We start from the raw sequence: 27,292 nt of genomic DNA, 5'->3' as shown, positions 1-27,292 counted from the left end.
GTGAGGCATTCCATAGGGCCAATGACACAGGAGACATTTGACACCATAGGGTATAATATCAACTCTAGGCAGCCGTCAGGGCCAGTGCCCAGGGGATCAGGGCTGTGTCTTTTTCTTTGTTATTTTTTGTTTGTTTGTTTAGAGCTAGTTTTTAAAAAGTTTAATTGAAAAAGTAATACATGCACATGATCTAAAAATTAAAATGATTCAAAAACGTATACAGTGAACGTTCTGCCTCCCACCATCAACTTCTCAACTCATCTCCTTCCGCAGGTGCAGCCGTCATTAAAAGTTTCTTTTCCCAGAGATGCTACATGCATGCATATGCAATATTTCTATTTTTTCTTATGATGACTTAATGAGGCTGTTGTGAACTGAATACAGTTGCAGGTGTTGATGACATTGTTACAGTTGTTGGCACTCTGGAAAAGGGATATAAGGCCCATTGAACTTGAGAACTAGAAGACTACTCTTGCACATTCTGAATGACATTCAGTAATTAAAAGTGTGGAGTAATAAAATTTGGATATCTCAAATATTACCTGGAAAAAGGCTAGTCTGACTCAAGGGTGGTGGAAAAATGATCTAAGGATGCACGGTTAGTCACAAATGATATAGGAAATGTTAGGCCATTGTAGTAAGTGCCAGTACACTGTCAAGATGGATGGTAAGGAGCATAACTGATAGAGATCTGGAAATTATTTGTTGGGTCGATTCTTGTTAAAGTATTCGTAAATGTCCGACTTGTTGGTTACTGTGTGTACACTGGTAGAGACAAATAAGGTAACTTCTAGTTGAACAGAGGACCAAAATGCACTCATATAATGGCGAAATAAAGGGTGCGTTTAATAAACCAGTTGATGGAACGAGCATCATTCAATCTAGGGAAGAAAAGGCTAAGAGATGACTCACTTATTGAAGTACATGGTAAAGTAACTTGAGTTTCCCCAGGCCTCACCACCTGAGTAGGGATGATCTTCTGAGGGGCACTGTACCCGGAGCCTGCCCGCAGCAAAGGACTCCCAGCTGTCTGGACTGCCTCTGGGTTGTCCTGGGAGTTCCCAGGGGCCTGCTCCTGCCGGGCACCCTCTGGCACCCTGGAGTGAAAGCTCTGGGGAATCTGGGGGGAAAAAAAAGATTATTCAACCCTCTTCCCTCTGTGTGAGCTTTCAGTCCCAAAGCTCTACCATCTGTGCTCTGATTTCCTGAAAGACCTCAGCAAGATGGTCTTTCCCAATTTCCCTTTTGGTCCTGCTGCTCTTCACAGAACTCGGATATGTCTGGCCGAGGGACGCTCAGAATGAACTGCTCTTCCCCTCCAAAGAGCAGGACTGTTTGACTGGGGTAGGGCCTGGCGGGTCTCCTTCCCTACAGAGCGAGTCCCTCCCCACCCCCGGAGGCTTCTTGGCCTTGGTTCACACTGGGACCTAGGTTCCCTCTAATCGTAACTAGCGAGTATTCAGTTGTTTTGAAAAAATATTCTAATCGATTGTTCTATAAGGAAGGTCAACCAAGAGGCCATGGATATAAACAATAACAGGGAAGATTTAGTGAGTGGAAAGGAGGGACGATGTTAAGGAAAGTTACTCCTGTGCCCTGAGGGAAAGTGCACGGTCTTTCTTGAATAGTTTAGAAATAGGTCCTGGAGCTTTTCAAGCTCAGCCCTTGGTATTCTGAGGTGGACTGAGGCGTTCCACCTTGAAAATCAAATAGTAGTGGTCTTTTCCCTAACTCAGGTAATATAATTTTTCCATGTAAATTTTTTCCATGCATGTTCTTCCATTTTAAACCTTTAGCACCTGCAGGCAACAAAACTAATGAAGAAGTAGTAAACAGATATGAATGGGAAAGCTTGAAAACCACCAATCATGCTGAGTTTGTGGCTTTTTTTTTTTTAAAGAACATGTGTGCTTGTGGTTTTATACTGTCTGCTCATAATGCAGCCATATTTTCTGCTATTAAAATTGTTCTTAGTTCATGGGATGGAATGAAGCAGACCATTATTCCAGGGTGTTCCCGGAAGAGCCTCAGGTTTCAGGAAGCACACTTCGACTTTTAGTTCTCCACCACCTGAGTACACTTGAGTGCTGCTGTTGTAGACTCTGGAGTATTCGTTTCCTTTCCTTTCCCTCCTCCCTCTGCTGTTCATATCATGGCCCAGATTGACTCCCAACCTCTGCCAGGCTAAAGATAACCTCTCCAACTGGGCGATTACCCACAGGCTAAATATATTCTCAGGGGTGAGTTGGGGCTACCCTGACAGTGACTCCAGGCAAGCATTTAACCACTCATGGCATTAAGTCATCTTAGGAGATGGAAGGAGCTTGGGAGGGGGGAGGGATTACCACAGAAGGATGGGGAGGGGTAGGAATGAAAGAGGCAGAGAGCGATGGATAGGAAGCTGGCAAAGGCGCTTCCGATAAAGGAGGACACGCTGTGCCACATGGTGACTCCAGCAGAAGCTCAGTCAGTCTGCGGATTTGGCTGCTCCTAGCAAAGACTCCTTTTCTGTCCGTTACAATGTTACTTTAATAGAACTCCCAGAGGGAAAAGCCCAGTGCTAATCAGGGCTCAAGAAGTCAGTGGACTTGATGTACAGAATGGGGTGTTTAATTTTATGATGTGGCTATGGGTTACATGAGAGACTAATAAAAGAACTCCATAAAATGTGGCTTGCAGGAACGGGGCTGCAGCCTCTGCCAGAAGGTCAGCCTGCTCAGAAGTGGTTGGAGAGCCAGGCTGATTTCTAGCTGGTGTGGCCACTCTGGCTCTTCAACTGTTGAAAGCCTTCTGAACCGGTTGGTAACTGGCTGCTGCTCTTAGCTTCTCAAGCACAGCCCTGCTGCACTGGCTGCCCGGCCCCCACCCTGGAACCTCCCCACAATCCAGTAAGCAGATGCAGAGGACCTGCAGATCCTGCTCTGTGTCATGTCTCTGGTGTCACAACATTTCTGAGTGGCTAGTGCTTCTGTATCTCTGGTTAATACTTTAAATATCACCTGTCCTACAATATGTCTTCCTTGGGATTTGTTCCTTCAAATACCTGTGGAGCAGACCAGGACACAGTTCCGTAAAACTCTCCTTAACTGATCCCAGGCCAGTCCAGGGTGCTCCAAGGAGGCTTTCTTGGGTCAGGGAGGCCTGCTGCTCTCATGGTCGCCACAAGGACCCACTCAACCTTTCCCTTGAGTCATAGTTGGCTGCCTCAAAGGAGAGTTTTAATAGGCACAGGAATGACATCAGGGTTGAAGAATATTTTTGGAAGGAAGAGGCAAATTTGCGTAAGATTTCTGAACCAGGAATTGCATCTGTCATAGAGTTTGAATTAGAGGGATGCTCAGAGCACATCTGGTCTCTCTTCATAGCCAGCACGGAACTCCTCCGTATCGCCTCTGACAGGAGATAGCCAGCCCCTTCTAGGCCATGCCCACTGATAGGGAATTCAGCTCTTTGAAAGGAAGCCTCTTGTGTGAACCAGCAGGAGCTGAAATCTTCCTAAACAAATCCTTTTGTGAATCCTTTTGTTGAGCTGAAATCTTCCTATACAACTCAAATTTTGACGCCTCACCTAGATGGAATTGCAAATCCAAAGACGGCCCAAGAGTAAGCAATGACAGCTACTAATGTGTCTGATTTTATCAAGTGAACCGAGAGGCTGTGAGATCATTCATTCAGCCAGTTTCCCGAGTGGCTGCTAAGTGCTGGTGCCTGGTGCTGGAGACTCAGCAGGCACCTGGAAATGGTTCTTCTCTGAGAGACTGTCCAGCCTCTTTAAGCCAGCACTAGACAACTGGGGACACCTGGGAAATCAGAGGGGTCTAACCTTTGCTTCTGGAGCCAGTTCCAGGCTGGGGTCCATCCTTGGGCGGGGGCCGTCCTGGGTGACTCTGGGCAGGAAGCTTCTGTCTGTGCTCCTCCTTTTCTCTACCGGTTACTAACAGCCTGGTGAGCCTGCTGAGAGCGTGGGGCTCTCAAGGTGGGCTCTCATTGACAGACACTGAGACGAAGAGGTGGAGTTGCCATCTCCCTCCTCACACCCTCTGAAAATACCTGTAAGAGTCAAATGACATTTTGTAATGCATTTTGCTGAATTAACAATTGAACAGGCTCTTTTGTCTTTCATAAACAAGAAATATTACACAATTTAGATAAGAAAAAGGCGGACAATAAAAGTATTTATAACTTCATCATCTACAGGTAACAATTTGGTGTTCGTCCATGCCAACATTTTTCTGAGTATATGTGATATATCCGTGTATGTGGGAGATACACACACACACACACACACACGTGCTTTGTAATCTGCCCTTTTCACCCAGTTGTTTTCCCAATGAACACAATTTTAAAGTGAATCTAATTGTTCAAGGATCTGTCATTAATGCACATAACTTTGAATGACTCATCCAAAGAAATCAGATGTGGAGAACAAAGAGTTAAACCATCTCAGAAGTTAAGGAGGCATTCGCCAGGGTGTCTTGGATTTGAGATGTGGAGAACAAAGAGTTAAACCATCTCAGAAGTTAAGGAGGCATTTGCCAGGGACAGTAGATCCAGGGTGTCCTGGATGTCTATGAAAGGGCTGGGGGCGAGATAGAGATTTTCATTACATGGTGCCCTGTCGGCCCTCTACTCAAATCTTGGCCCGGTGAAGAGAGCTGGGGAGGGGATTTCTCCTCTGTAAATCAGTGGGTGGAAAGCTTGGGGATGAGGCTGTAATTGTGGCAGGCCCTGCGCTTGGTTCCTTTAGACTCGTGGACCCATGGAAAGGGCTACCTTGGCATTCATGAATGGGCTTTCCTGGTCTCAGATTGCTGAAGAGAAGCTGAACGTGGGGACGTGGTGGGACTGAGAGGCCTCCTTCCTTCCCGTGCCTTAATTGGGACTGACCCCTTATATCCAGCTACACTAATGGCCCACAGGGGCCATCCCTCCCACCACTCACAGGACTGTGATCACTGAAAGAACCCCCAGAAGCTGGCCTTGAACTTCAAAGAACAGATACAAAAAAACAACTCTGCATCTACAGGGCCTCAGTGGGCAGTGAGAGGGAGAGGAAGCATCCGCCGAACAGCCCTTCATGGAAATCACACTGCTGGAATAGACAGCCAGGGCAGAAGTGCAAGAAGGACATTCAACCACAGTATCCCAAACAAACAAACAAACAAAAACAAAGAAACACAGACTTCCTGGAGCTTTGACTAAAATACTCATTGGATACATTAAAGCAGGCTGAGAAGGCCAAGTGCAAGAATATCCCAAATATAGAACAAAAACACAGAGGTGGAAATCTTAAGGGCAAAAGAGGAGACTAGGAGGCTAGATCCAGGAGACCTAATAGGAGTTGCAAGAGAAAGAGAAAAATGAACACACGAAAGAGAGAATCATTAAATAAATGATAGAAGGTAATTTCTTTGAGTGAAAAAGACTTGGGTCTGAGGTTTAAAAAGAACTCGTGGGGTTCCTGAAAGTCACATACCTAAACCCATCCAAATTAAATTCTTGAATAGCAGGTAAAAAGAGAACCTTTTGCACCCTTTAATACAAAGAGAAAAACATTAATTACCAAGAAACAGAAAAGAGACAGTGTCACACTTCTCACCTATAATAACGGGAAGCTGGAAATAGGGGAATGAGGTCTATAAAATACTTGAGCCAGCTAAAATACCTTTTGCTGGCCAGGGGAAAAAGAAAAGTTACACCCTCCCGAGTAGGTGGGATTACAGGCACGCGCCACAGTGCCTGTCTAATTTTTATATTTTTTTTTTGGTAGAGACGGGGGTCTTGCCATGTTTCCCAGGCTGATCTTGAACTCCTGGACTCAAGCAATCCACCTGCCTAGGCCTCCCAAAGTGCTGGGATTACAGGCATGAGCCATCGCGCCCGGCCTAATTTTTAAAAATCGTATCACTGAGTGGACAAGACAGGGGTGTTGCTGAAAATGTCAGACTCAAATTTGGATAGCAGCAAGAAGAATTTCTTTGAGGGGGGAAGTAGTTGATGAGGGAAGTGTGATTTTGACACTGGTGCCAGTTAAAGATGACCCAAATATGGAACAAATGGAACCAAGTATTTCTTCAACTTCTGATGTCAAACTGGAGAAGCCTAAGAAATATAATCAAGGTCATCACTTCAAACACATGAACAATTTACAGCTCCACAAAAAGCTGGTGCAAAATACCAGCCCTTCCCTTGCCGACCACTTTGCCTCCCATTAATAAGGTGTGTCGGGACACTTAGCGGGACTGGTGTCAACAACTTGGTTTGAGTGCTAATGGCAAGAAAATAGAAGTTTATCTGAGGCTCCGTAGGCGTGCTTTCCCTGAACAACAGCAAGATACGCCTGAAACATCACATAAGACCAGATTACAGCGATGCTCGAGAAAACACAAGGCAGTGACCGAGAGAGCAAGAGGCTTCAGAAAAGTTATGAGATGAATGAAAGAACAGAGAGACTAATATAGTTGAAGTGATAACTTCAGTGCAGGCATCCATGTTGGCATCATGGGCAAGAATTGGTGCAAGAGCTGTTCAGCCAAAGGCTGTAAATTCATGTTCCATTCCTGTTTCTGTTGAGGCCTTTTGGATGCAAACCTCTGATGTCAGGTGGTGTGTGGTCCATGGCAGACGTCTCTCAGCAGACACAAAGAGCTGGGTACACCTGCAGTTTCATGCAGATCAGGCCTGGGTGCCTACCACTCACAGGAGGATGATTTCTCTCTTCTTGTTACCTGCCTGCATTTTCCCATCCCCAGGCATAGAAGATAACATATTATGCCCCAACTGTGCTAAGAGGAATAAGAAGATGATGAGAAGATTAATGACAATGGAGAAGCAGCAGCAACCTCTTTGAATACAATGTACTAGAGAAGGAGGGATGTACTTTCAGACCATGTAACCTATTATGAAGGAAAGGAAGAGGAGACAATTTGAATGAATCTTCATGATATGCAACACAAAATCGTAGTGACTAGGACTCCACAGTGAAGATGGTTGACCAGTGACACAGCCCCATCTGAAGAGCACCTTTCTGTAAGTCTGAAAACTCATTAAAATAAAGTCACTGAAAAGAGAAAAGTATATTATCCAGGTATCCCATCTGAGAAAAATACTCCAGAAAGAACCTTAAGCAAATCAAAAATGAACTGAAATAGGTAACTCAAGATGGGAGATGAAGAGAGAAGTTGGTTGTGGACAAATGGGTCTCTCCTCTCTGTCTCTCTCTCTCTCTGTCTCTCTCCTCTCTCCTCTCCCCTTTCTCCTCTCTCCTCTCTCCTCTCTTTTCTCTCTGTCTCTCTCTGTCTCTCTCCTCTCTCCTCTCCCCTTTCCCCTCTCTCCTCTCTCCTCTCTCTTCTCTTTTCTCTCTCTCTGTCTCTCTCCCTCTCTCTCCCTCTCTCACTCCCTCTCTCTCTAATGCAATTGCAACAGAAGTCCCAGCTGAACCCGGAGGAGCTTTGGAGCTGAAGTTGTTCTGCATTAAGATGAGTCTGGCCTTTTCACTTTTTATCTTGGCCTTGAGGAGTAGTTGCAAGGAGGTTGCCCTAGGGAGGGAAGCAGACCTGGGGTGCGGCAGTTCCCTTCAGCTTAGGGCAATTCCTGGAGAGAGACTCAGCTGTGAGCTGTCTGCAGCTAACATTTGGCAGCTGAAGGGGAAAATACCATGTATGACATGGTGCCTTTTATGTGAAATTATGTATGTATGTATGTACATATGTATATATGTACATATCTGCTGTGGTGTGGTAGGAAATGTTTAACAGTCAGCCCTGGAGGGAGGGGGCGGGTGGCGGGGGAAAGCCCTGATTTGTAGCTTTTGCTGATTTTTGTGGTGTAAATACTTTTATCATGGCTGATGTCAAACTACCAATGTGATGTCACTGAACGTGGAGCCCGAACACGATGCACACAGTTGCCTCTCATGAGCACACAAGCTGGCTTCAACACACCACTGTATAAGCCTGAGGATATTTAGGGGGAACGTGGGGAAGGGGAGAGGCTTGTGGAACAACAGTCCTGGCATTTGGGCATCCTGTTCAGTAGGAGAGCATGGAGTTTTTTCTCTGTTTTCTCTCCATATGGCTAATTTTCTTTACTGGGGTCAAATTTCTAATCCTCGTCTCTACCGTCCCCTGCCCCTTTCCCCCCTCCACCCCTAAGTTGGTATTCTTCGCAGGCAGTGTTTCAGAAGTCAATTCGAATACTTGTTCATATTGAAGTCCTTGTGGCTATGAAAACAGGAAGAAGCTTCTTGGTAGGTGCTTACGAGGATCCATGTGATAGTGAATGTCAGGGCATGGCAAACTTTATGTAAGGGGCCAACCAGTAAATATTTTTGGCTTTGTGGGACATATGGTCTCTGTTGCAACTGCTAATCTTTTGCAGGACATAGTTTGCTGACTCCTGTTTTAGACGATACCATTGTATCATAAGCCTCTACGTAAGTGTTAATTACGGTTATTTCAAAGGACCCAGAGAAAGAAATCTTTTAACTCTAGAAATTCAGACCAACCACTCAGAGGAGGGATATAGGCTGTGGGGAAGGTTTTTTGATTCAGCTGGCTTTGTGACAGTAGCTGTATGCAGGATTTTTTTAACTTTTATCCAGGATTAAATAAGATGAGAGAAAGAGAACCCCTGGATTAAACAACAACAACAACAAAACCCCTCCAAACCTTAAAAAACCAAAAACCGAATTCTCTGATAAATCCCTTTATGTATTAGGATCTCGTTAATTCAGAATTTAGAAAAATATATTAATACCTGGGAAGGAGGCAGGCACTCACCATAACATTATCTGTAAAGAAAGACATAGTGGGTTGATTAACACAGTAAATCAGGTCAGGCGGGCAGAAGCCTTCATACAGCTAAGAAACTAAACTCTTCGTCATCTTTCTAGCAAGTGAAATATTTGAATGTTAATGTGAAATCCACAAGTTTTTTATTCATAAAAATAGATCATGGTTGGGTACATGGTGTGTGCCTGTAGTCCCAGCTATTTGGGAGCCTGAGGCCAGAGGATCACTTGAGCCTAGGAGTTGGAGGCTGCAGTGTGCTAGGATCATGCCTGTGGATAGCCACTGCACTTCACCCTGGGCGACACCATGAGACTCTGTCTCTTTTTTAAAACAATGGATCATGTAGAACCTTTTTTGTCAATACTTGATGAGTTCCTCCAGGATGTTGGTATAGATACTAAAGCTAGTTACCCAAATATATTTGGGTCAAGTCTCTTCTCCTAGCTTCAGCTTTTCCATCTTTAAATGAGTATTTTAGATTTCTTAGCCAGTGCTGTGGTTTGAATGTGCTCCCTAAATTTCATGTGTTGGAAACATAATCCCCAAATTCTTATGTTGACTAGAAGTAGGGCCTTTGGGCCGGGCTTGGTGGCTCAAGCCTCTAATTCCAGCACTTTGGGAGGCCGAGGCAGGTGGATCACGAGGTTGGGAGATCGAGACCAACCTGGCTAACATGGTGAAACCCTGTCTCTGCTAAAAATACAAAAAATTAGCCAGGCGTGGTAGCAGATGCCTGTAGTCCCAGCTACTCGGGAGGCTGAGGCAGGAGAAGGGTGTGAACCCGGGAGGTGGAGCTTGCAGTGAGCCGAGATTGCACCACTGCACTCCAGTCTGGGCGACAGAGCCAGACTCCATCTCAAAAAAAAAAAAAAAGAAAAAAAGAAAAGAAATAGGGCCTTTGGGAGGTTGTTAGGGTTAGATAAAGTTGTCAGAGTGGGGCCCCCATGATGTGGCTGGTGGCTTTATAAGAAGAAGAAGAGAGGCCTGAGCTGACACAGATAGTCTTTGCCACTCTCCATGTGATGCCTTCTACATAGCACGAAGGCCCTACCAGAGGCCAGCACCATGCTTTTGGACTTCCCAGCCTCCAGAATTGTAAGAAATAAATTTCTTTTATTTATAAGCGACCCAGTCTCAGGTATTCAATGATAGCAACAGAAAATAAATGAATACAACCTTATGAATTTTTGTAAAATTCTCTAAAAATATTAAGCCCACTTACTAGAATATGCCCTGTCTTCTGACCACTTCTTGCCTTGTTGTTGCACAGGGTTGACTATATAAGAGGCCAATTCCATTTTGGCTTCCAATTGTCTTAGGATATATATGTGTCTGTGTGTGTGTATATTTATATTTTGGCAATAAGAGAGTTGTTTTCTAATAGAAAGTTCTTGCTTCATCATTATCTACAAGGTTTGCTTATAAAAATCCTTGCAGATTACATGAAAACCTCCACTAATCACTGAGTATCATATTTTTTTTGTAGCTTTCAATAAATACTTGTTGATTTTCCCCTAGAGATCCAGAAGCTCAGAGTAGACTTTGGTGTCCAGACAAACCCACTCAGGTTATGTTGCAGTTCTCTGTCAATAACTCTTAATCTTTTCTGTCTCACAGATTTCTATGGAAATTTGGTGGAAGTAAAGGGGAATTGACTAAGGACCATTAATATATGTATGGAGTGAATTCTGATCACTCCTTTTGAAAATCCTTAACTACCACGTTTTTATATTTTACTTGTGTTATTATCTGACACCCCAAAATGCTGAAGTACACAGTGACCTCAAAACAAGAGAGATGTGCACAGGATTGGACGGGTTCATTTGTTTATTTTAATGTAAAAAGGAGGAGATAGGCAACATTTTTTGAGAAGAGTAGTTTTCCAGGATGGTATCACAGCTTAATCTTGCATTAGGGGAAAAGCACTAGACTAAACTGAAGCTTTGGTTTTTATCACTAGACAGTTGTGAGTTTAAACTTCCCTTTCACTCCAGTCAGCCTCCATTTTCTTACTGTAAACTGAGAAGACTACATGGGATGGTAGGAGATTAAGCAAGAGGCTGTATCTGGAAGTGCTGGCTACATGTAAAGTGTGGCATCCATGAGGGGGATTCAGTAAGACTAGCTCCTCAGAATCCACCACAGTCAGCACTCAGATGAAATCATGACCAAGGGATGGACATGCAGAGGCCATTTTTCTTGCCTTGAACAGCAAATGCTACTTGCTGTGTGGCCCAACAGTCCTGTGCCTCCATTTGTTTCTTGCTGCTGCAGCAAAAAGATAAACATTTAGGGAGGCTCTAACATGGCTTGAAATGAGCACATAGACACTACCATGCCAATGAAGTCACAGTAAGTATCTCTGGTCTGCCCATGAGAAATACCTATGTCTACCATAGATCCTCTCCTCCCCTCTCCTCCACACATGCACACAGTTAGCCTCTCCTTTAAGCTCCAATGAAAGTACCAGCCACTCTATGGACCCTTCCCTGAACTGTGTTCTTTTCTCTCCTCCAGGACATAGGATTCTTGTCCGTCATATTGTAGTAGCATTTACTGCTTATTTTGTTCATCTGTTACTGAAATTGGTTTATTGTGTACCTACTATGTTCAAGGCTCTGTGCAGATCATAATTATATATAGCCTTGGAGTTATATATTACCTGGAGAGGGACTCAGCTGTGAGCTGCCAGCAGCCAACATTCAGCAGCTGAACGGGGAAGTTACGGTAGGTCAGGTCGGCCCCGCCAGCAGCCTCCACAACAGACTCCGACAACTCCCTTAAGATGAGTATTAGCATCGTTTATCTCTGTATGTGTTACACCCCTTGAGGTCTGGGATTGCTTATGGTACGCGCATTCTTCACATTGTCCAGCATGCAGAGTGGACTGCTAAGTGTCCAGCCGTAAGTCACCCTACCACCTGCTAGAATGCTGGGATAACATGGTAGTGAGTAGAGCACATAATGATAAAAGCTATATATGCCCAATTTCAAAAGTTTGGAAATACAGACAAGTACAAATTTACCTATAATTTCACCCTCCAGAGATGACATCTGCTGATTTTTTAGTATATTTCATTTTAACCTTCTTTTATCTATGCCTTTATTTACCTAATTTGGAATAGTCTGCTTGCAACGTTTTATACCCCATTTTCCCATACCGTTACAAATTTTGAAAACTTAATTTAAATGTCTATATAATATTCTATCATATTGATGAACCATCCTTTATTTGCCAATTTCCTTATTAGACATTTAGGTTGTGGTCAATTTTTTCACTATTATAAACATTACTGTAATGAGGATTTTTTATAGTTATGTCTACATGTCACCATGCTTATGTATCTGATTATTTTTCTTTGATGTATTGGAAGAATTTAAATTACTATCCAAAGGGTATAAAATGTCTAAAATTATTGCCAAATTGCTGTCAGAAAGGTTTATCCTTTCTAGTCTTGTCAGCAGAGAATGCTGGATTTGTCATACCTACACTAACATTAATTGTATTTTTCAATATTTACAAATTCAACTAGAGTGTATGGAGCTCTGGTTTTACTTTTACAGATGTCTTTGATCATTAGTGAACTTAAACATTTTAATATATTTACTGGCAACTTTTTATTCCTTTTTCTCTGAATTATCTGTTTACGTTTTTAACCATTTAAAAATGGAAGTGTTGGTATTTTTTCTATTGTGGGCTCCAGAGGCACTGCTAAAGGTTTTAAAAACCATTCTAAGTCACCTGCATGCCTTTTGATGCCACACCATCCATGGCCACCTTAGAAGAAAGATTAGTCCCAGAGGTAAAAGGCAGTTTCTTCAACTACAGCCTTGGTTATGTTGGGTTATTGTGCCATTTGTTCCTTTGATAAAGAGTGCACAAGGAAATGTGAGTGCCGTTTTTTTTTTTCTTTCTTTTTTTTCCTGCAGCACGCTTGCTTTCCATTAAGCGGATCCTTTGTGCTGAAACAGATTTGCAGTCCTGCCAAACCAGACGATGCTGCTGGCAGGAAGATGCACATGGTCTGATGTTAATGCAAGAGTGAGAAAACCTCTGTGGCACAGTCATGGGAGGTCAGCCCAAATGTAGAGTTTCCTTCCTTCCTTCCTTCCTCCCTCCCTCCCTCCCTCCCTCCCTTTTTTTACTTTCTGTAATTCTAAAGTGGCAGGAACGACTTGACTCTTTAGACCATATATTTTTTTCAGAAATACATTTCTGAAAATATATTCTCTGTTTTGTATGTTTTCTCTGTTTTGTCTCTGTTTTGTATGTTTTTCCTGGGTACTACAGATTTCTAAAAACATTGAAAGAGTAAAGCCTTTTTTGGAAGTCCATTCATAAGATGTCCAAGAAGAATTCATCACAGAAACTTCAACCTATTTTTTTTAAAAAGTAGACTCCAACAACTCCCTTCAGATGGGTATTATCTTGATTTTACAGATGAAGCTTAGAAGAGTTAAGCAATTTGCTCAGGGTCAATAGCCAGCAAAGCAACAGCATCAAAACTTAGATCCAGTTTTGCTGATGCCAAAATGCATGCTCCATTCTATACCATTCAACTAACCTAGCTGTAGCCCCTAATTATGTGAGATCAGAAAGCTCTAGTTACAGTCTTTCATTTTTATTTATTATTTATTTATTTATTTATTTATTTATTTGCACTCTGTCGGTCAAGCTAGAGTGCAAAGCGCGATCTCTGCTCACTGCAACCTCCACCTCCTGGGTTCAAGCTATTCTCCCTGCCTCAGCCTCCTGAGTAGCTGGGATTACGGGCACCACCACCACGCCTGGCTAATGTTTGTATTTTTAGTAGAGACAGGGTTTCACTATGTTGACTAGGCTGGTCTCGGACTCCTGATCTCAGGTGATCTGCCTGCCTTGGCCTTCCAAAGTGCAGGGATTACAGGTGTGAGCCACTGCCCCCGGCCTCTAGTTACAGTCTTTAACTGTGTGTGATTGGAAAGTCCATAGTGGATCCATGAGGCAGGCCCTGCAGGGAACAGGACATCACTGTGGAACATTTGCCGCAGTATTAGACCATAAGGCTCGGAGAGTCCTCAAATTGCTGCATGAAAGAGAATTCTTAATGGAGGACAGGGCAACCATATTCCTGGAAAAATGGCAAAGGAGAAATTGGACACATTGGAGTAAAAAAATACAAAGAAGATGGTTAATGACTTCCTCAAAGACTTTAGGAACTCCCCCTGTGGTGGGTCAGTTTCAGAGTCATTGCAAAAGGCTGTGGAGTTTCTAGGGCTACAGAGGGCGAAGAGTGGGTCCCGGCAAGATGGAAGTGAACTGCGAGAGGCTCTACTACAGTATAGAAATAGGATCTCAAGGCTGGGCGTGGTGGCTCACGCGTGTAATCCCAGCACTTTGGGAGGCTGAGGCGGGTGGATCACGAGGTCAGGAGATCGAGACCATCCTATCCTGGCTAACACGGTGAAACCCTGTCTCTACTAAAAAATGCAAAAAAATTAGCCGGGGGTGGTGTTGGGCGTCTGTAGTCCCAGCTACTCTGGAGGCTGAGGCAGGAGAATGGCGTGGAGGCAGGAGAATGGCGTGAAGCCAGGAGGTGGGGCTTGCAATGAGCCGAGATCGCGCCACTGCACTCCAGCCTGGGCGACAGAGCCAGACTCCGTCTCAAAAATAAAAATAAAAAAGAAATAGGATCTCAAGAACCAAGAGGATGAGCCTCACGCATGGAGGGGCTTGAACAGGAGAAAGACATGCCAGTGGATTGCCAGGGAATGGGCATGCCTTGGTTTCAGATGCCAACCCCTCTCAGGTGCATGGTGAATTGTCCCTGTTAACTGAGTGCCCTATTGTAACTGCAAACAGTGCTCTCAGGAACATGGGCTTGGCTGAGGGGACAGAGTGCTTTCTGGTTTGGTGGAATCTATTCTTTTAAGTCAGTGGCTTTCTTACTTTTTTGGATCATGACTCACAGTGAGGAGTATCTTTTCTATTACAAACCAGTGACCCAAACACATATAGATAGTCCCCAACTCACAGTGGTTCCATATGTGATGTTTCAACTTTAAAATGGCGCGAAAGTGATATGCATTCAGTATGGTCCTTAGGTTACGTCTGGATGAACCCATCGTAAGTTGAGGAGCATCTGTATAAGACTGAAGGAGAATTTCGTGGTACGATATTTACCCTTTTACTATGCAAGATGTACTCAAAGATTTCCTCTCCTCTTCCATTCATTTAAGCCAAATTGCTGGCCCTCTTGCTAAATTGATTTCTCAATCCATTAATGGGTCATGGCTTACTGAGTGAAAAATCCCTGTTTCGAGTTGCACCATGTATGTACAAGTGGAAGTAGTCACTTGGGCCCCTTGGAGACACAATCAACAGCATAGAAGTTGCATATAGAATATTTTTTCTTCTTAGGGAGAAGAGACTAAAAAGTAGACACGTTAATTCTAGTTAACCTCTGCCCCTTTAGCCTTCAAATAACTTCCCCTGCAGTGGATTTCGTATTGTCCAAAATGTGGTTCTGTAAGGCCAGGATTGGAAGCCCGTTTCGAATATGTGCAGAATTTCTTGAATACCGCTCTATGCTCAGTCTTGCCGAGATAGGGTGTCATCCCTCACGAGCTTCCCAGGACCCCTTGGCTGTGCACACAAAGAGAACCAGGCTTTTCTTGTTTGGGCCTTTGCTCCTTCCTATTTGATTGAATTTGAAGAGGAACTGTTTGCCTTCGGCCACACATCCTGAATCATAATCAGGATGCTGCTGGCACAGAAAACCTGCTCCCACCCTTGCCTGAAATAACTGAACAGGGAAGTAGAGTTCCTCCCCTCTCCAACCTTAAAGAGAGAGGCTCATAATTTATTGTGTGCTGGCAATACATCAAAAGTCAATTCAGTCACTTACAGTAAAATTAAGGAGGGCAGAACAATGAATACAGAGTGGGGTTAAAACACCTGATTAAAAGGAACAAATTGTTCAGTTGACACCTATTCTGGTGTCATATTTGTTAGCCAGAGTCCAGTGGCCTTTGGAGGTGCTTCCCTGGCTGTGGGATATGAAAAAGGCATAAAGCCACTCTCAGCTGTTTCAGTTTTTCAATTCAGCACACACGCTTTGCTCCAACAGTGTATCAGGGACCCCGTGACTAGGGGATATTAGTTCTCTAGGACTGTGCTGCTGCCACAAATTACTATAAACTTGGTGACTTAAAACAACAAAAATGTATTTGCTTTCAGTTCTGGAGACCAGAAATCTGAACTCAAGGTGTTGGCAGGGCCACATTCCCTCTGAAGGCTCTGGAGGAGAAGCCTTCTGTTGGTTCCAGCTTCTGGCAGCCCCAGGCATCCCTTGGCTTATGACTGCGTCACCTCAATAGCTGCCTCCTTCTTCACAGGGTGTTTTCCTTCTCTTTGAATGTCTCTTTGTGTGTCTCTTAGCAGATATTTAGCACTGGATTTAGAGCCCACCTGGATAATGAAGGCTGATCTTACCTGGAGATCCTTAACCTTATTATCATGTGCTCCTAAGAATAAAGATCTTTGTCATAATAACAAGCAAATTACACCCAAGAATATTAACAGTAATTCGATAGAATCTATTACCAAGACTCGTTTTACTCTAACAAACAATCACAGAGAAGGGTGATGCTATGATTGATGTTACGGTGTCTACAATTTTCAAATGTTTTAGCAGAAATATAAATAGAGAAGCCTATGATCACAAAAGTGTGAAGAATTGTTAAGTCTAGGTGGAAGTTATATGGATGTTCATTGTTCTATTCTTTTGACTCTCTTTAATGCTTGAAATTACTCATAATTAAAAACTTGGGGGAGGGTGGGGAAAGAAAATTCTTGAAGCAAACTTTCTTGACCTATCTCTCATAGGCTCTACAGGGGGTGGGGTGGAGGGGTTTCAGGGACCAGGAAGCTTCCAAATTTATATTTGAGCTTTTGTGGTGCCCACATGCAAGCGTGTGTGTGTGTGTGTGTGTGTGTGTGTGTGTGTGTTTCGTTTTCTGGGGGAAAAGTTGATTGTAGCATTGTTCAGTACAGTGAATAAGAGCATGGAATTCAGACAAACCTTGTTTAGGGTCTTGAGTTTGCCTCTTACTAGCATTATGACATTGACAAACTTGTTGAATGCCTTGAACCGATTTTCTCATCTGTGAAGTGGGGATAGTAACAGTTCCCATTTCATTGGGATATTGAAAGGAATAAGTAAAAATATACCTTTAATAATAGCTAGCATTTTTCAAGGGCTTTCTGCATTTAGAGCACTGTTTAAAGCGCTTTTAGATGTGACTATCTTATTGAATTCTTGTAACTCTGTGAGCTAGGCCCTAGTATCACCATTTTGCATATACGAGAACTGAGGCACAGAGAAGTTGAGTAACTTGCCCAAGGTCATACCGCTATTAAATACAAGAACTGGGATTTGAACTGAGCAAGCCAAATCCTCTCCCTAGTATCTTTACATCCCACTTTGCACAGTGTCTTGCCCGTGGTGAGCCCGTCGGTGAATGTTTGTGTGACGGCATGTAGGAAATCCCTGGTAAACACTGAATGACATCAGGAATTTCTTTGCAGGTTGTTAGTTAGAAGGGTGCTAAATGTGTTCCTGTTGTGGATGACAAAATGTGCTTGTTTAGAAAAGAGGCATATTTTATGAGGCTGATGTCCAGTCCTTTGAAATAATAGCTTTAAAGCTCAAGTTTGAATAAGCTAGTGGAAAAAGGGTTAGTCTAGTGAAGACTTCTGCTCCCGTTCCAATCAGCTGCTGAGGTTGGGCTGCAGCCAGACTGATGACTCTTCTTCCATATGCAAGAGGGTGAAGCACTAGGGTGTTACCAGGAATTGAGACCTGGACGGGCTGCAGGACTGGGCACCCAGCCGAGTCACACCCAAGCGGTGGGCGCTTGCCAGCTTCGGGCCTAGGCTGTTGCCCCTGAGAGACTGGGCAGGGCCGGCAGCTCTTTGCTTGCTGATTCTCTCATCTCCCAGAGCAACAGCCTGGTGCAGACTGTGGTCATCCGTGGGAATGTTCCTCCTGCATCGGCGGGACCTGCATTGCCCCAGTGTGTGGCCACGTGCTCCTCTGGGCTCATACAGATGTCTGTACTCAGAGGACGCCACTGTGCCATCGTGAGTTCAGGGCTGAAGTGCAGGACAGGGGCTGCTTGCTTTGAGTCTCAACTTTTGGGGCCCTTCACTGGGCTCTTGCTGAATGCATAAAGTATTTAAGGTGGGTGCATTTTAAGGCTGTTAGTGTGTCAATACTGATAGAAAGAGATTAGAGACTTTGGTTCTAAAATAAACTCTTTCTCTGATTTGTTATACAAATTTGTGGAATTCATGTTTTCTCCTCTCCAGGCCTCAACTTCCTCATCTGGAAAATTAACATTACTCCAGTCCTATCCATATCACTGGATTATGCCGAGAACCAAATGAGATGATCAGTGTAAAAATGGTCAGTAAACTTCAAGACACTACACAGAAGCAAGCAGCCATTTTTTTCATGCAGCTGGGTCTTAACAGCCCTGGCTCCTTCCAGCTGCTCCCCTGTGGGGAGACTCTGTCCATGGCCAGCCTTGAAGGGCTGGGATTGGATTTGCTTCAAAGAGGTGGCTGGATTCCTGACCTGAGGTGCCCTCAGGGGTCTCTAAGAGGAAGGAGGAGCCCAGGAGCAGGTGTTGGAGGCTCAGGGATTCAGCCCCTTTGACCAGGCTGAGAGCCTCCCTCCGTTTCCAGCCTGGGTGGGTTGGGATCTCATTTTGTTAGGTGGGAACTAAATGTTTCCTGACTCAGCGCCTGTCAGTGTTCCGTGCTATGCTTTGTGAACTCTCTTTCTTTGGCCGTGCTTACTAGGGGTGAGGGGCACCCTTGGGAGGTGAACAGTACAACTGTATACAGAACTGAAGATGGGGTAGAGGCCCTGATAAGGCTCCGTCTCAGCACAGGAAGGACCAAAGTGGAGAGGAAGGAAGGAGGGAAGGGTGACACTGGCCGAGTGGCAGCCACAAGGGACTTTGATATCCTCACCATGGATTTTTGTCAGGAACAAAACAAACTTTTCAGACGAATTTTTTGGTGGGGGGCAGATAAGGGGTAGCTAAGGAGTTGCTTTCCATGTGACTAAACATTGTAGCAAGGGTCTAGCACTCTTTTGTGTGTGTGTGTGTGTGTGTGTGTGTGCATGGAGACACAGCTGCTGTTGCACCAGAACAGTCTTCTGATAGCTACAGAGTGGTGGAGGGAGGGAGGCCTGGCCCAGGAGTTCCCCACTCTGTTCCAACCTGAGCATGTCCCCAGGACACTGGCCAGGAGAGTGGCGGACTGGAACTCATGTCACAGAAAGTAAAGGGACTGAGGGATGTTTAGCTTGGGACATTAGACTTCAGGTACCCGAGGGAGTCTCGAGGGAAAGGTACACTTCCCACCCCCAACTCTTCCTGCTCTTCTGCTATTCTCCAGGGAAGAGTTTGGCTCAATATGGGAGAGAGCTTTCTTATACGTCAACACACCTGAGAGTGCTGAGGCAGAAACTGGCTAGGAAGGAGCCCGTGAGGAGGGGATTCCGGGACAGACGGGGGTTGGCCTGGATGATCTCCCTCCAGGTCCAGAGGCTGCCATGTCAAAGGAAGATTCTGCAGGGTTACGGTGAATTCCTACCTGATGTTCCCACAGCTGCACCGCCAGAGCATCCTCCACCATGGAAATACCCTTTAGGACTGTTGTGCTGGATCTTTCCCCACCGCGATAAGCCTTCGAGGTGCTGTAAGGACCTCCCGCCCTCTTGTTTTGCTGGGAGGGGAGGATAGCCCACATCTGTCATTCTGGTTTCTGACTGGCCCTTTTTTTCATGTTTCCTATTCCTTCCTTATCCTCAACTTGTTGCTCTTGGCACAAGAGTTTGTGTGGATTTGTTCATAACAATTACCCTCCGCCTTGAGACGCATGTGGAATGTTTTAGGGATATTTTTGTAAATCTTGGGCCATATTTTTTATGGCTGGAAATTAACCAGGGAACTGCAAACATACAGGGTTGCTTATTCAGCTTTACATCCTGAAGACAAGCTGCCTCCCTGCCTCCTACTTTCGTACCCTAGCTCTTTGGACCATATGTACTTCCTTGGACTGGGTCCTTCCTTCCTGACATGGATATCATGGTTACTTGCAGCCCTGAGTAAGTAACCAAGACTATTGCTAAGTCTTCTGGTCCTCTTCTGACTTCCTAGACGCAGTCATTCTCCTTGATTTTCTTTTTCTTACTTCAGTCCTTGCCTCTTCCCGTTCCACGTATTTACTCCTTCTTAGAAATCCCTACTCTTGGAGCTGAAGGTAACTGCCCATCCCAGTGTTTACACCTTCTCCATGACAGACTCATGTGGATTATGGATATTGAGGGGAGTGGGCTTTAGGTCCCTTTAAAGTGTCTTAGTTCTTTTAATTTCCCAAGTTCTTTTGGGAAATGAGTTGACAGGATGATACATTCCAACAAGCATTGTTTTTCTCAAACATGATTGTAAAGCCCTGGTCCATTTCCACATTTTACTCATTTTGATCATTCTTTTTTTTTTTTTCCCTTTAGATGGAGTTTTGCTCTTGTTTCCCAGGCTGGAGTGCAGTGGCACGATCTTGGCTCACTGCAACCTCTGCCTCCCGGGTTCAAGCAACTCTCCTGCCTCAGCCTCCTGAGTAACTGGGATTACAGGTGCCTGCCATCACGCCCAGCTGATTTTTGTATTTTTAGTAGAGTTGGGGTTTCACCATGTTGGCCAGGCTGGTCTCAAACTCCTGACCTCAGGTGATCCGCCCGCCTCGGCCTCCCAAAGTGCTGGGATTACAGTCGTGAGCCACCACGCCCAGCCTGATCATTCTTTTCAGACTCCAACATAAAGTCATTTTTCTGGTTCCTCTTATTTCAAATTTAAAATGCTAATGCCTGAGGAAAACTGTTTGAATCTTGCATGCGATCCTACAAGGTTCTGTGTGTTAGTCCACGCCTCCACGTTAACTGAGCAGTGACTACCCGAAAGGCACTGGGGTGGACATCGAGGACAAAGCAGTCAATCTGACAGCTTCTTGCACTCAGGTGCTCAGAGTCAAGGAAGGTGACGCCGGCCCACCGAGGCTTGGATTCGGCTTATGTGGAGGAGGGGCAGGGGTGGTGGTGAAGTCTTCTTAGCTAAGACCGTGAAATCTCAGGTGGGTCTTAAAGTACACGATTTAGACTTTGTTAGGGAGACAAGGCTATTATGGGCAAAGGAACACTGTTGGGAAAAGCAAGGGATTATAAGAATAATGCTGTGTTTAGAGATCAAAGAGCAGCTGGGGGTAAGTGAATGTAGTAGAGGGGGTAGGAGCAGAGAGAGGAGGAGCGATTGGGAAGTCGCCTCTGTCATAAGGAGCCTTGGGCATCATGTGCAGAAGTGTGGACCTTGTTGATGAAAATCAGTGATCTCTGCAAACCCCTCACTTCACCATGACCTTTCTGTAGGGCTTCCCTGCCCACTGATGGATTCATCATCTCATTGTGCGATGCTCTGAAAGACCTGCATAAGTTTGTGTTTTGGAAAAATCCTTCAGGCTGCAACTTGGAGAACAAACAGAAACAGCAATAGGCCAGTCACAAGGAAATGCACTCAGACAATTTTGCAATAATCCGGTTGAGAACTGTGTCTATGAAACCAGCTGCATCTGTCTCATAGAGTGCATGTCGGTACTGCCCTGCCACAGCCTGTGACGTGGAGCTTCACCTGGAGCCCAGACAACCTCTGCCTTGACTCCTGGTCTTTGTGGTCACTCATCACCACCCTTATCAGAACTCATGTTGTTTAGAGAGGCCTTGACTGCAATTTTATCGCCCAGATGGTCTGGAGCATTCCCTTCGGTACACACATGCCAGAGAAATGGCAGGATATATGAAGTATGGCCTCAGGTCACCGGTGGATGAAATGCTTAGAGGGAAACAGGTTCTCTGTGTCTCAGCTGAGTTCGGGTCAGGCTTACCATTTCTGGATGTCAAATGCGGTCCTTATTGCCATCCTTGTGTGATGGGATGGATCAGTGGGGCTAGGGAGGCCTGCCTGTGTTAATGTGAACACAAAGGCTTCCTGTTCATGGCGTGGGATGGCTTCGGACATGTTTCTGCAGGTTTTTTGGCTGTACCTTGGTAGGTTCCTATATTACCTCACCCAGCCGAACATCTGCTGGTGCCATCCTGAGGGGTGCTAGAAGCTCCCGTGTACTCTGCAGGCTTCTACCTCCGAGAGACCAAGACCTGCCTCTGGACTTTGCCTCCAAAGGTTTAAAGCAGTTTTTGCCTGCATGTCCTAGACGTTCAGTAGAAAAAGATCTCCTCGTGCTCCAGCACCTTTGGGGAAACCAGAGGCTCCACAATGCTCAGCAGTTTAATTTACTGCAGGTCTTCTCAACATCTTTAATTCACAATATATATTGTGAATCTGCAAGAAGGGGTAAGAGGGTGAATAGTCCATTTCCCACACCCATTTGACCACGGAACTTCCTCCACTTCTGGCCTTGGTAGAGGCTCCTCCCCTGGGGAAGAGGAAGCACAGCTAAGGGCCCAGCCTCGCCTGGAGGAGATGCTGAAGGGCAGCCAAGCTTGGTCTCCTAGACTTTAGGGGTAGGCGGGTGGTTCGGGATAAGGATCAGCAATGTCTGGATTTGCCTAGGGCAGTCCGAGCTCACACAGGTTGCCCCAGTATAATTATAATAAACTCCCTCTTTTTTCTCTCCAAAGGGTCCTGGTTTGGGGCATCAATTCTATGATCCTGGCCATAGTCACCGCAGACCTAGGGTCCCGCCACTTGGCATTTTGAAGCCCAAAGAGCAGCTCATTGTTAGACTCTGCCCCTGCCCATAACATAGTCTGATGTCATCCTTTAACTCACCACTTGCTCCCTGACAACCTCTGATATTTGTCACTGGGTCCCAGATTCTTTCCCCTTTATTCAGCCACCATATTCAGCCTGGCAAAATGCCTCACCTTTTCAAAAATAATTCTGCAAGGGGTTGGCAGGAAATCGGTGCCCCTAAGACCCACAAACCTTTTGCGGTAGGTGTCTCTTCACAATGCCTCAAGTCACAGCTTTTCTGGGCCTCCTCAGTGTGTGAACTTTTGGAGGCCTGTTGCCGAATTGTTTGCCTGCATCATTCTTTCTCCTTGTTCTCTTGTCTCTTTTTATTCCTGCTACCGAAACAGCCACCTTCCTGCTGTCAGATGCTCCGAAGGAATTTGTGTTGGAAAATATCAGGAAACCATCCTGATTTAGGGGATGAGAGAAATAAAAGAGGAAAAAGGCCAGCTGGGTGTGGTGGCTCACACCTGTAATCCCAGAACTTTGGGAGGCTGAGGCAGGTGGATCACCTGAGGTCAGGAGTTTGAGACCAGCCTGACCAACATGGTGAAACCCTGTCTCTACTAAAAATACAAAAATTAACTGGGCATGGTGGTGGGCACCTGTAATCCCAGCTACTCGGGAGGCTGAGGCAGGAGAATTGCTTGAACCCGGGAGGCAGAGGTTGCAGTGAGCCAAGATCAGCCATTGCACTCCAGCCTAGGCAACAAGAGTTAAACTCCGTCTCAAAAAAAAAAAAAAAAAAGAAAAGAAAAGAAAAGAAAAGGGCCAAGCAGGCAAGAAACCAATAGATGGTAAATTAGGGAGATCACAGAATCCACTGAGAAAAATAAGAGAATTACAAATTTAAAAAAAATTTCAAAGGGGTAAGTAATAGCCTATTGAATTTGACTTCAACTATTGTTCACTTTTTTAAAAGTACTTCTGTTGGTAAATTAACTTTCAAAATGTCCGTGGTTGGCTTTCCAAAATTCTTCAGTTGGAAACTCAAAGTAGAAAGAAGATTCATTGAAGAAATGCTTTTCTTTTTATTTGACACGAGTAAATGGTGAGAATTATCTTCAATATTTGCAAAAGCCTCAAAAAATCACCAGTGAAAAACACAAAAGGAAACTAGTATCAAGTATTTAGGATCTCTTTTTTATTATAGACTGTTTTGGATGTAAATCCTACACACCCAAGTCTTACCTGGTTTTAAATGTCCCCGGCAATAGAGTTGCCACATTTTCTTCACGGATATTTTGTTTAATGTTCTTAAGTATGTCCAGGACAGACTCCTAACTCCCTCTTTCTCTCCAAACAAACAAAAAAGAAACTATTTTGTCTTTTAAATTTAATCTACTAAAAAATTACTCAAGCTCTAAATCTTAAAAAGTAACTGTCCCTTTTAAGAACCATTTTGTACTTTTTTCCACCCCTCCTCAGCTGTATAGCTTTGCTTTGCCTTCTTTAGAGGATGTGGAAGAAGTATTTTTTCCTCTTGATTCTTTTGAAAGTATGGGTTTGTTTGGCTTTAATACTGTCATTTAGGCGTTTCTTATATGTATGTGTTTATGGTAGTTTCAAATTGTCCTTCAAACTATAATTTTCAGCTCATTCACCTGTTGTAGAGTCTTCACGATGATTTTTCTCTGACCAAACTAAATAAGAATCAGACCAGAACCCAAGCTCAACAAATCCAAGACAACTGAGCACATTGGCTAGTTTCATTATCTATGCGTCCCTCTGGTTCTCAGAAGATAACTGACTAAAGTTTCTTTCCTACTGTTTCTTTTTTTAAAAAAATATACCTATGCACATCAACGAATATCAGTATTTCAAGTTTTGTTTCAAAAGATGCTTCAACTCCATTATGTAAATCATGACTTAAAAATGTAAAAGAAATATTTGTACATAGACATTCAAATCAAACCCTGATTCCACAAGCTCCTCCTTATTTTGTTGACTTTATTTTTAAGAGGGAAGGCCATTTAATTAAAAAAATTCTCCTTTACTTTCCTTGTTTCCCTGCTCCCTTCCCCCACCCCTCCGATTGTCTCCTAGGACCAGGAAGTTTATATGTAAACAGAAGCCGTAATCAGACCCCTGACCTCCTCCGGGCTTTCAACCCAATGTTTCCACAGAGGGATTAACCCCAAATACCAACTTGCTCTCAGAGGCAAAATTGTTCCCCAGGCGGGTATCTCCAAAGGTTTTTCTTCTCTCTAGGCTTTCTCATTCACCCTGCAAATAAGTCTCCTCAAAGGGAGGCTTAAAGGCAGCCGCTGGAAAGCAAATTGCCGGGCAGGCTGGAGCCAGAACGAGGCTGAGAATTCTCTGGACCCTCAAGGCCCTTACTCCATCCTCCCCGAGTTGGCCGAGTGGTTGTGTTGCCTTCCAGATGCATGGGTGCTATGGGAAAGAGCCAGGTTGCTGGGTGTGTGTGTGTGTGTGTATGCACGCACGTGCACACCTGCTTTTGGGTTTACACACTGGGAGTCTCATGGACGGCTGGGCCTCATCTGGGCTGCCTGGGCATCTCAGGGATGCTGGCAGGGAGGGGCTTTGGGAGTGGATAGGTATTCGTGTTCCCCTCTCAGGGGAGACAGGAGCAATAGCACTGGCCTGTTGTACAAAACCACAGCTGTGCGCCTACAAGGCAAATGTTTGCAAGTCTTTCTGTTTTATTCTTCGCTGCAGGTCTTGTAATGTCCACTCAGGAGGGAATGCTTTGAACCGGGCATCAAGCTCTGGGCCGGATTCCAAGTCAGTCTAAAAACAGTCTGAGCTCCCCGCTCCCCCGACGCCCGGACAACCCCGGTCCCCTACTTGCTGGGCAGAATGGATAAAAAAGTGGGTTCTCCCTTCTGCCTGCCCCTCCCTCCTGTCGGGTCCTCACACTGCCTGAACAGCCCTGTGCTAAGCCAAGGCACGGACCAGACCAGGAGATTTTCTTATGGCAGAACATCTTCTCCCCATCTGGACCCCAGTGCTTTCTCACCAGAGAGACAAAGTATTCATATTTTAAAGGCTCCACGTAGCATGTCCAGAAATTTCCCATGTTCTTCAGCAGGGTAGGGGTGGGGAAAGGGCCCAATGAGGCTACGGACTTAATAGCTCCTAACAGCTGTGGAAAGTTTGATGCAGCAGGAGCACCCAGACAGAAAATTAAAAAACTAATAAAGTCCTCAGTGTGGGGGCGCTGGCATCAGGACAGCTTTACTTCTCCAGACACCTAATAAAGAGACATTCCGGGACACTAACTCATAAGGGAAATCCGCAGGGGTCACCGAGAACAGTGGAGAGCAAACCATGGAAACACAGCAGTCACTCACATCACTGCAGGGAAGTTTCGTTTGCTTCTCCTCTTTTTTCCCCCTTTTCTTCAGTTTAGAAAAATGGCAGGGTGCTCAGGACCCAAAGAAATACCACAAAAAGGGGTGATTCCAGAAGTCCTGGATGTAGAAACCTCACGTTCATGGGCAGAATAAGCGTGAGGCTGATGTTTGACACTTCCGGTGATGGTGGCTGCAGAGGGCATTGAGATGGGAAGGTGGTTTGGCTTCAGGAGGTAGCAGAAAAAGGGGGTTTTGAGAATTGAGGTTTATCCACCTGGATTTTGTGAAGTACCATCCTTACAGTGGGTTTTCTTTTGTGGATTCTCCCACTGGGGATACTTGGTCATTTTGGATCTGAGTTTCTTGTGGTCTGCTAGGTGATGGGTTGCTGGTTGAGACTTTTGGTTTTGAGGGGCATTTATGTTATTTTGACTTGGTTCTCAAGTTTGGCTGTCTATTTGAAGAAAAAATAAATGGTGACTTTGGGCATTCAGCCAAACCATTCATAGTCAGTTGTGGAGAGACTCCGTTGAGTTGGTGGTGCTTGTCTTCTCACACAGATAATGTACGGGTGTAAAAGATGGAAGGAACGAAGCAGCCAGTTAAGAAAAGAGAATAAAAAGTGGGGAATAAGACAGATAAAGCATCTGCAGTGTTGAGTTCAGTTCAAGTTTTTGAGAGAAGCTCAGGTTATTTATCACTTTCTGCCCATTATTCCAGCTAATTTGTAGTCTGGAGACCAGCAGTCAAACCTGTTCCTTGACATTACCTGTCCACAGCAGTGTTTGCAACTGAGTAATGTCACACTTGCTCTAGAAGAATATAGTTTCATATTGTGCAAATTAGTGAAACGGCTTTTGCATATTGATCTTAAGAGAATCCTTGTATAGATTCTCTGAGGTCTCGTGGTGTGAGGGCAAGAGAACGGGAGACAGGAGATCTGGGCCCAATCCCAGCCAGCACTGCCACTAACGGGACTGGGTTGCTTGAACAAGTCACTTGCCCTGCACGACTCAGTTTCTTGTTCTGTAGGATGAAGGGAGTGAGACATAACTTCTAAGGCCTCTGGCTGCTTCCACACACTGTGAGTCCCTGAGGTTGGAAGGTTGGTCTCTGCACTGGAGTTCCTGGCTCTCCTGTGTTAGAAAGAGTGTTTTCTCCTGGCTTTCCATTCAGTTGCGGCTTGGCAGAGGCAAAGCTGCAGTCTTTGGGTGTGTTGCAGGAGAGGTCTGTGGTTTTGTGAGCAAAATGAAATATGGGCTTTTGAACTTCTCAAGTTCAGCAACCCTTTTCTGGCCTTTACTGTTTCTCTCTGGGTTT

The 27,292-nt window shown here is 44.8% G+C and overlaps 1 long non-coding RNA gene and 1 pseudogene across 2 annotated transcripts in view, besides 2 other annotated features; both read left to right on the top strand.

Annotated features, from left to right (window-relative positions):
• Positions 1-27,292, top strand: part of LINC02026 (long intergenic non-protein coding RNA 2026) — a 46,288-nt gene that overhangs the window by 3,501 nt on the left and 15,495 nt on the right. The window lies entirely within an intron of this gene.
• Positions 2,391-3,318: an enhancer, noted in NCBI's record as "NANOG-H3K4me1 hESC enhancer chr3:193714630-193715557 (GRCh37/hg19 assembly coordinates)". NCBI's record gives its function as "activates a minimal SCP1, AML or CMV promoter by ChIP-STARR-seq in naive H9 embryonic stem cells {active_cell/tissue: H9 hESC(naive)}" and the evidence as "EXISTENCE:reporter gene assay evidence [ECO:0000049][PMID:30033119]".
• On the top strand, positions 5,921-7,066 carry DPPA2P3 (developmental pluripotency associated 2 pseudogene 3; annotated as a pseudogene). Its single transcript, NR_027764.1, has one exon. The product of NR_027764.1 is annotated as a developmental pluripotency associated 2 pseudogene 3 (transcript).
• Positions 15,425-15,719: a silencer, noted in NCBI's record as "tiled region #6900; K562 Repressive non-DNase unmatched - State 23:Low". NCBI's record gives its function as "represses a minimal TATA promoter and a strong SV40 promoter by Sharpr-MPRA in K562 cells {active_cell/tissue: K562}" and the evidence as "EXISTENCE:reporter gene assay evidence [ECO:0000049][PMID:27701403]".

Source organism: Homo sapiens, chromosome 3, assembly GCF_000001405.40.
Source record: "Homo sapiens chromosome 3, GRCh38.p14 Primary Assembly".
In the NCBI taxonomy this organism is placed as follows: domain Eukaryota; kingdom Metazoa; phylum Chordata; class Mammalia; order Primates; family Hominidae; genus Homo; species Homo sapiens.
Note: the sequence above shows the minus strand (reverse complement) of the source record. Positions and strands in the feature narration are given on the sequence as shown.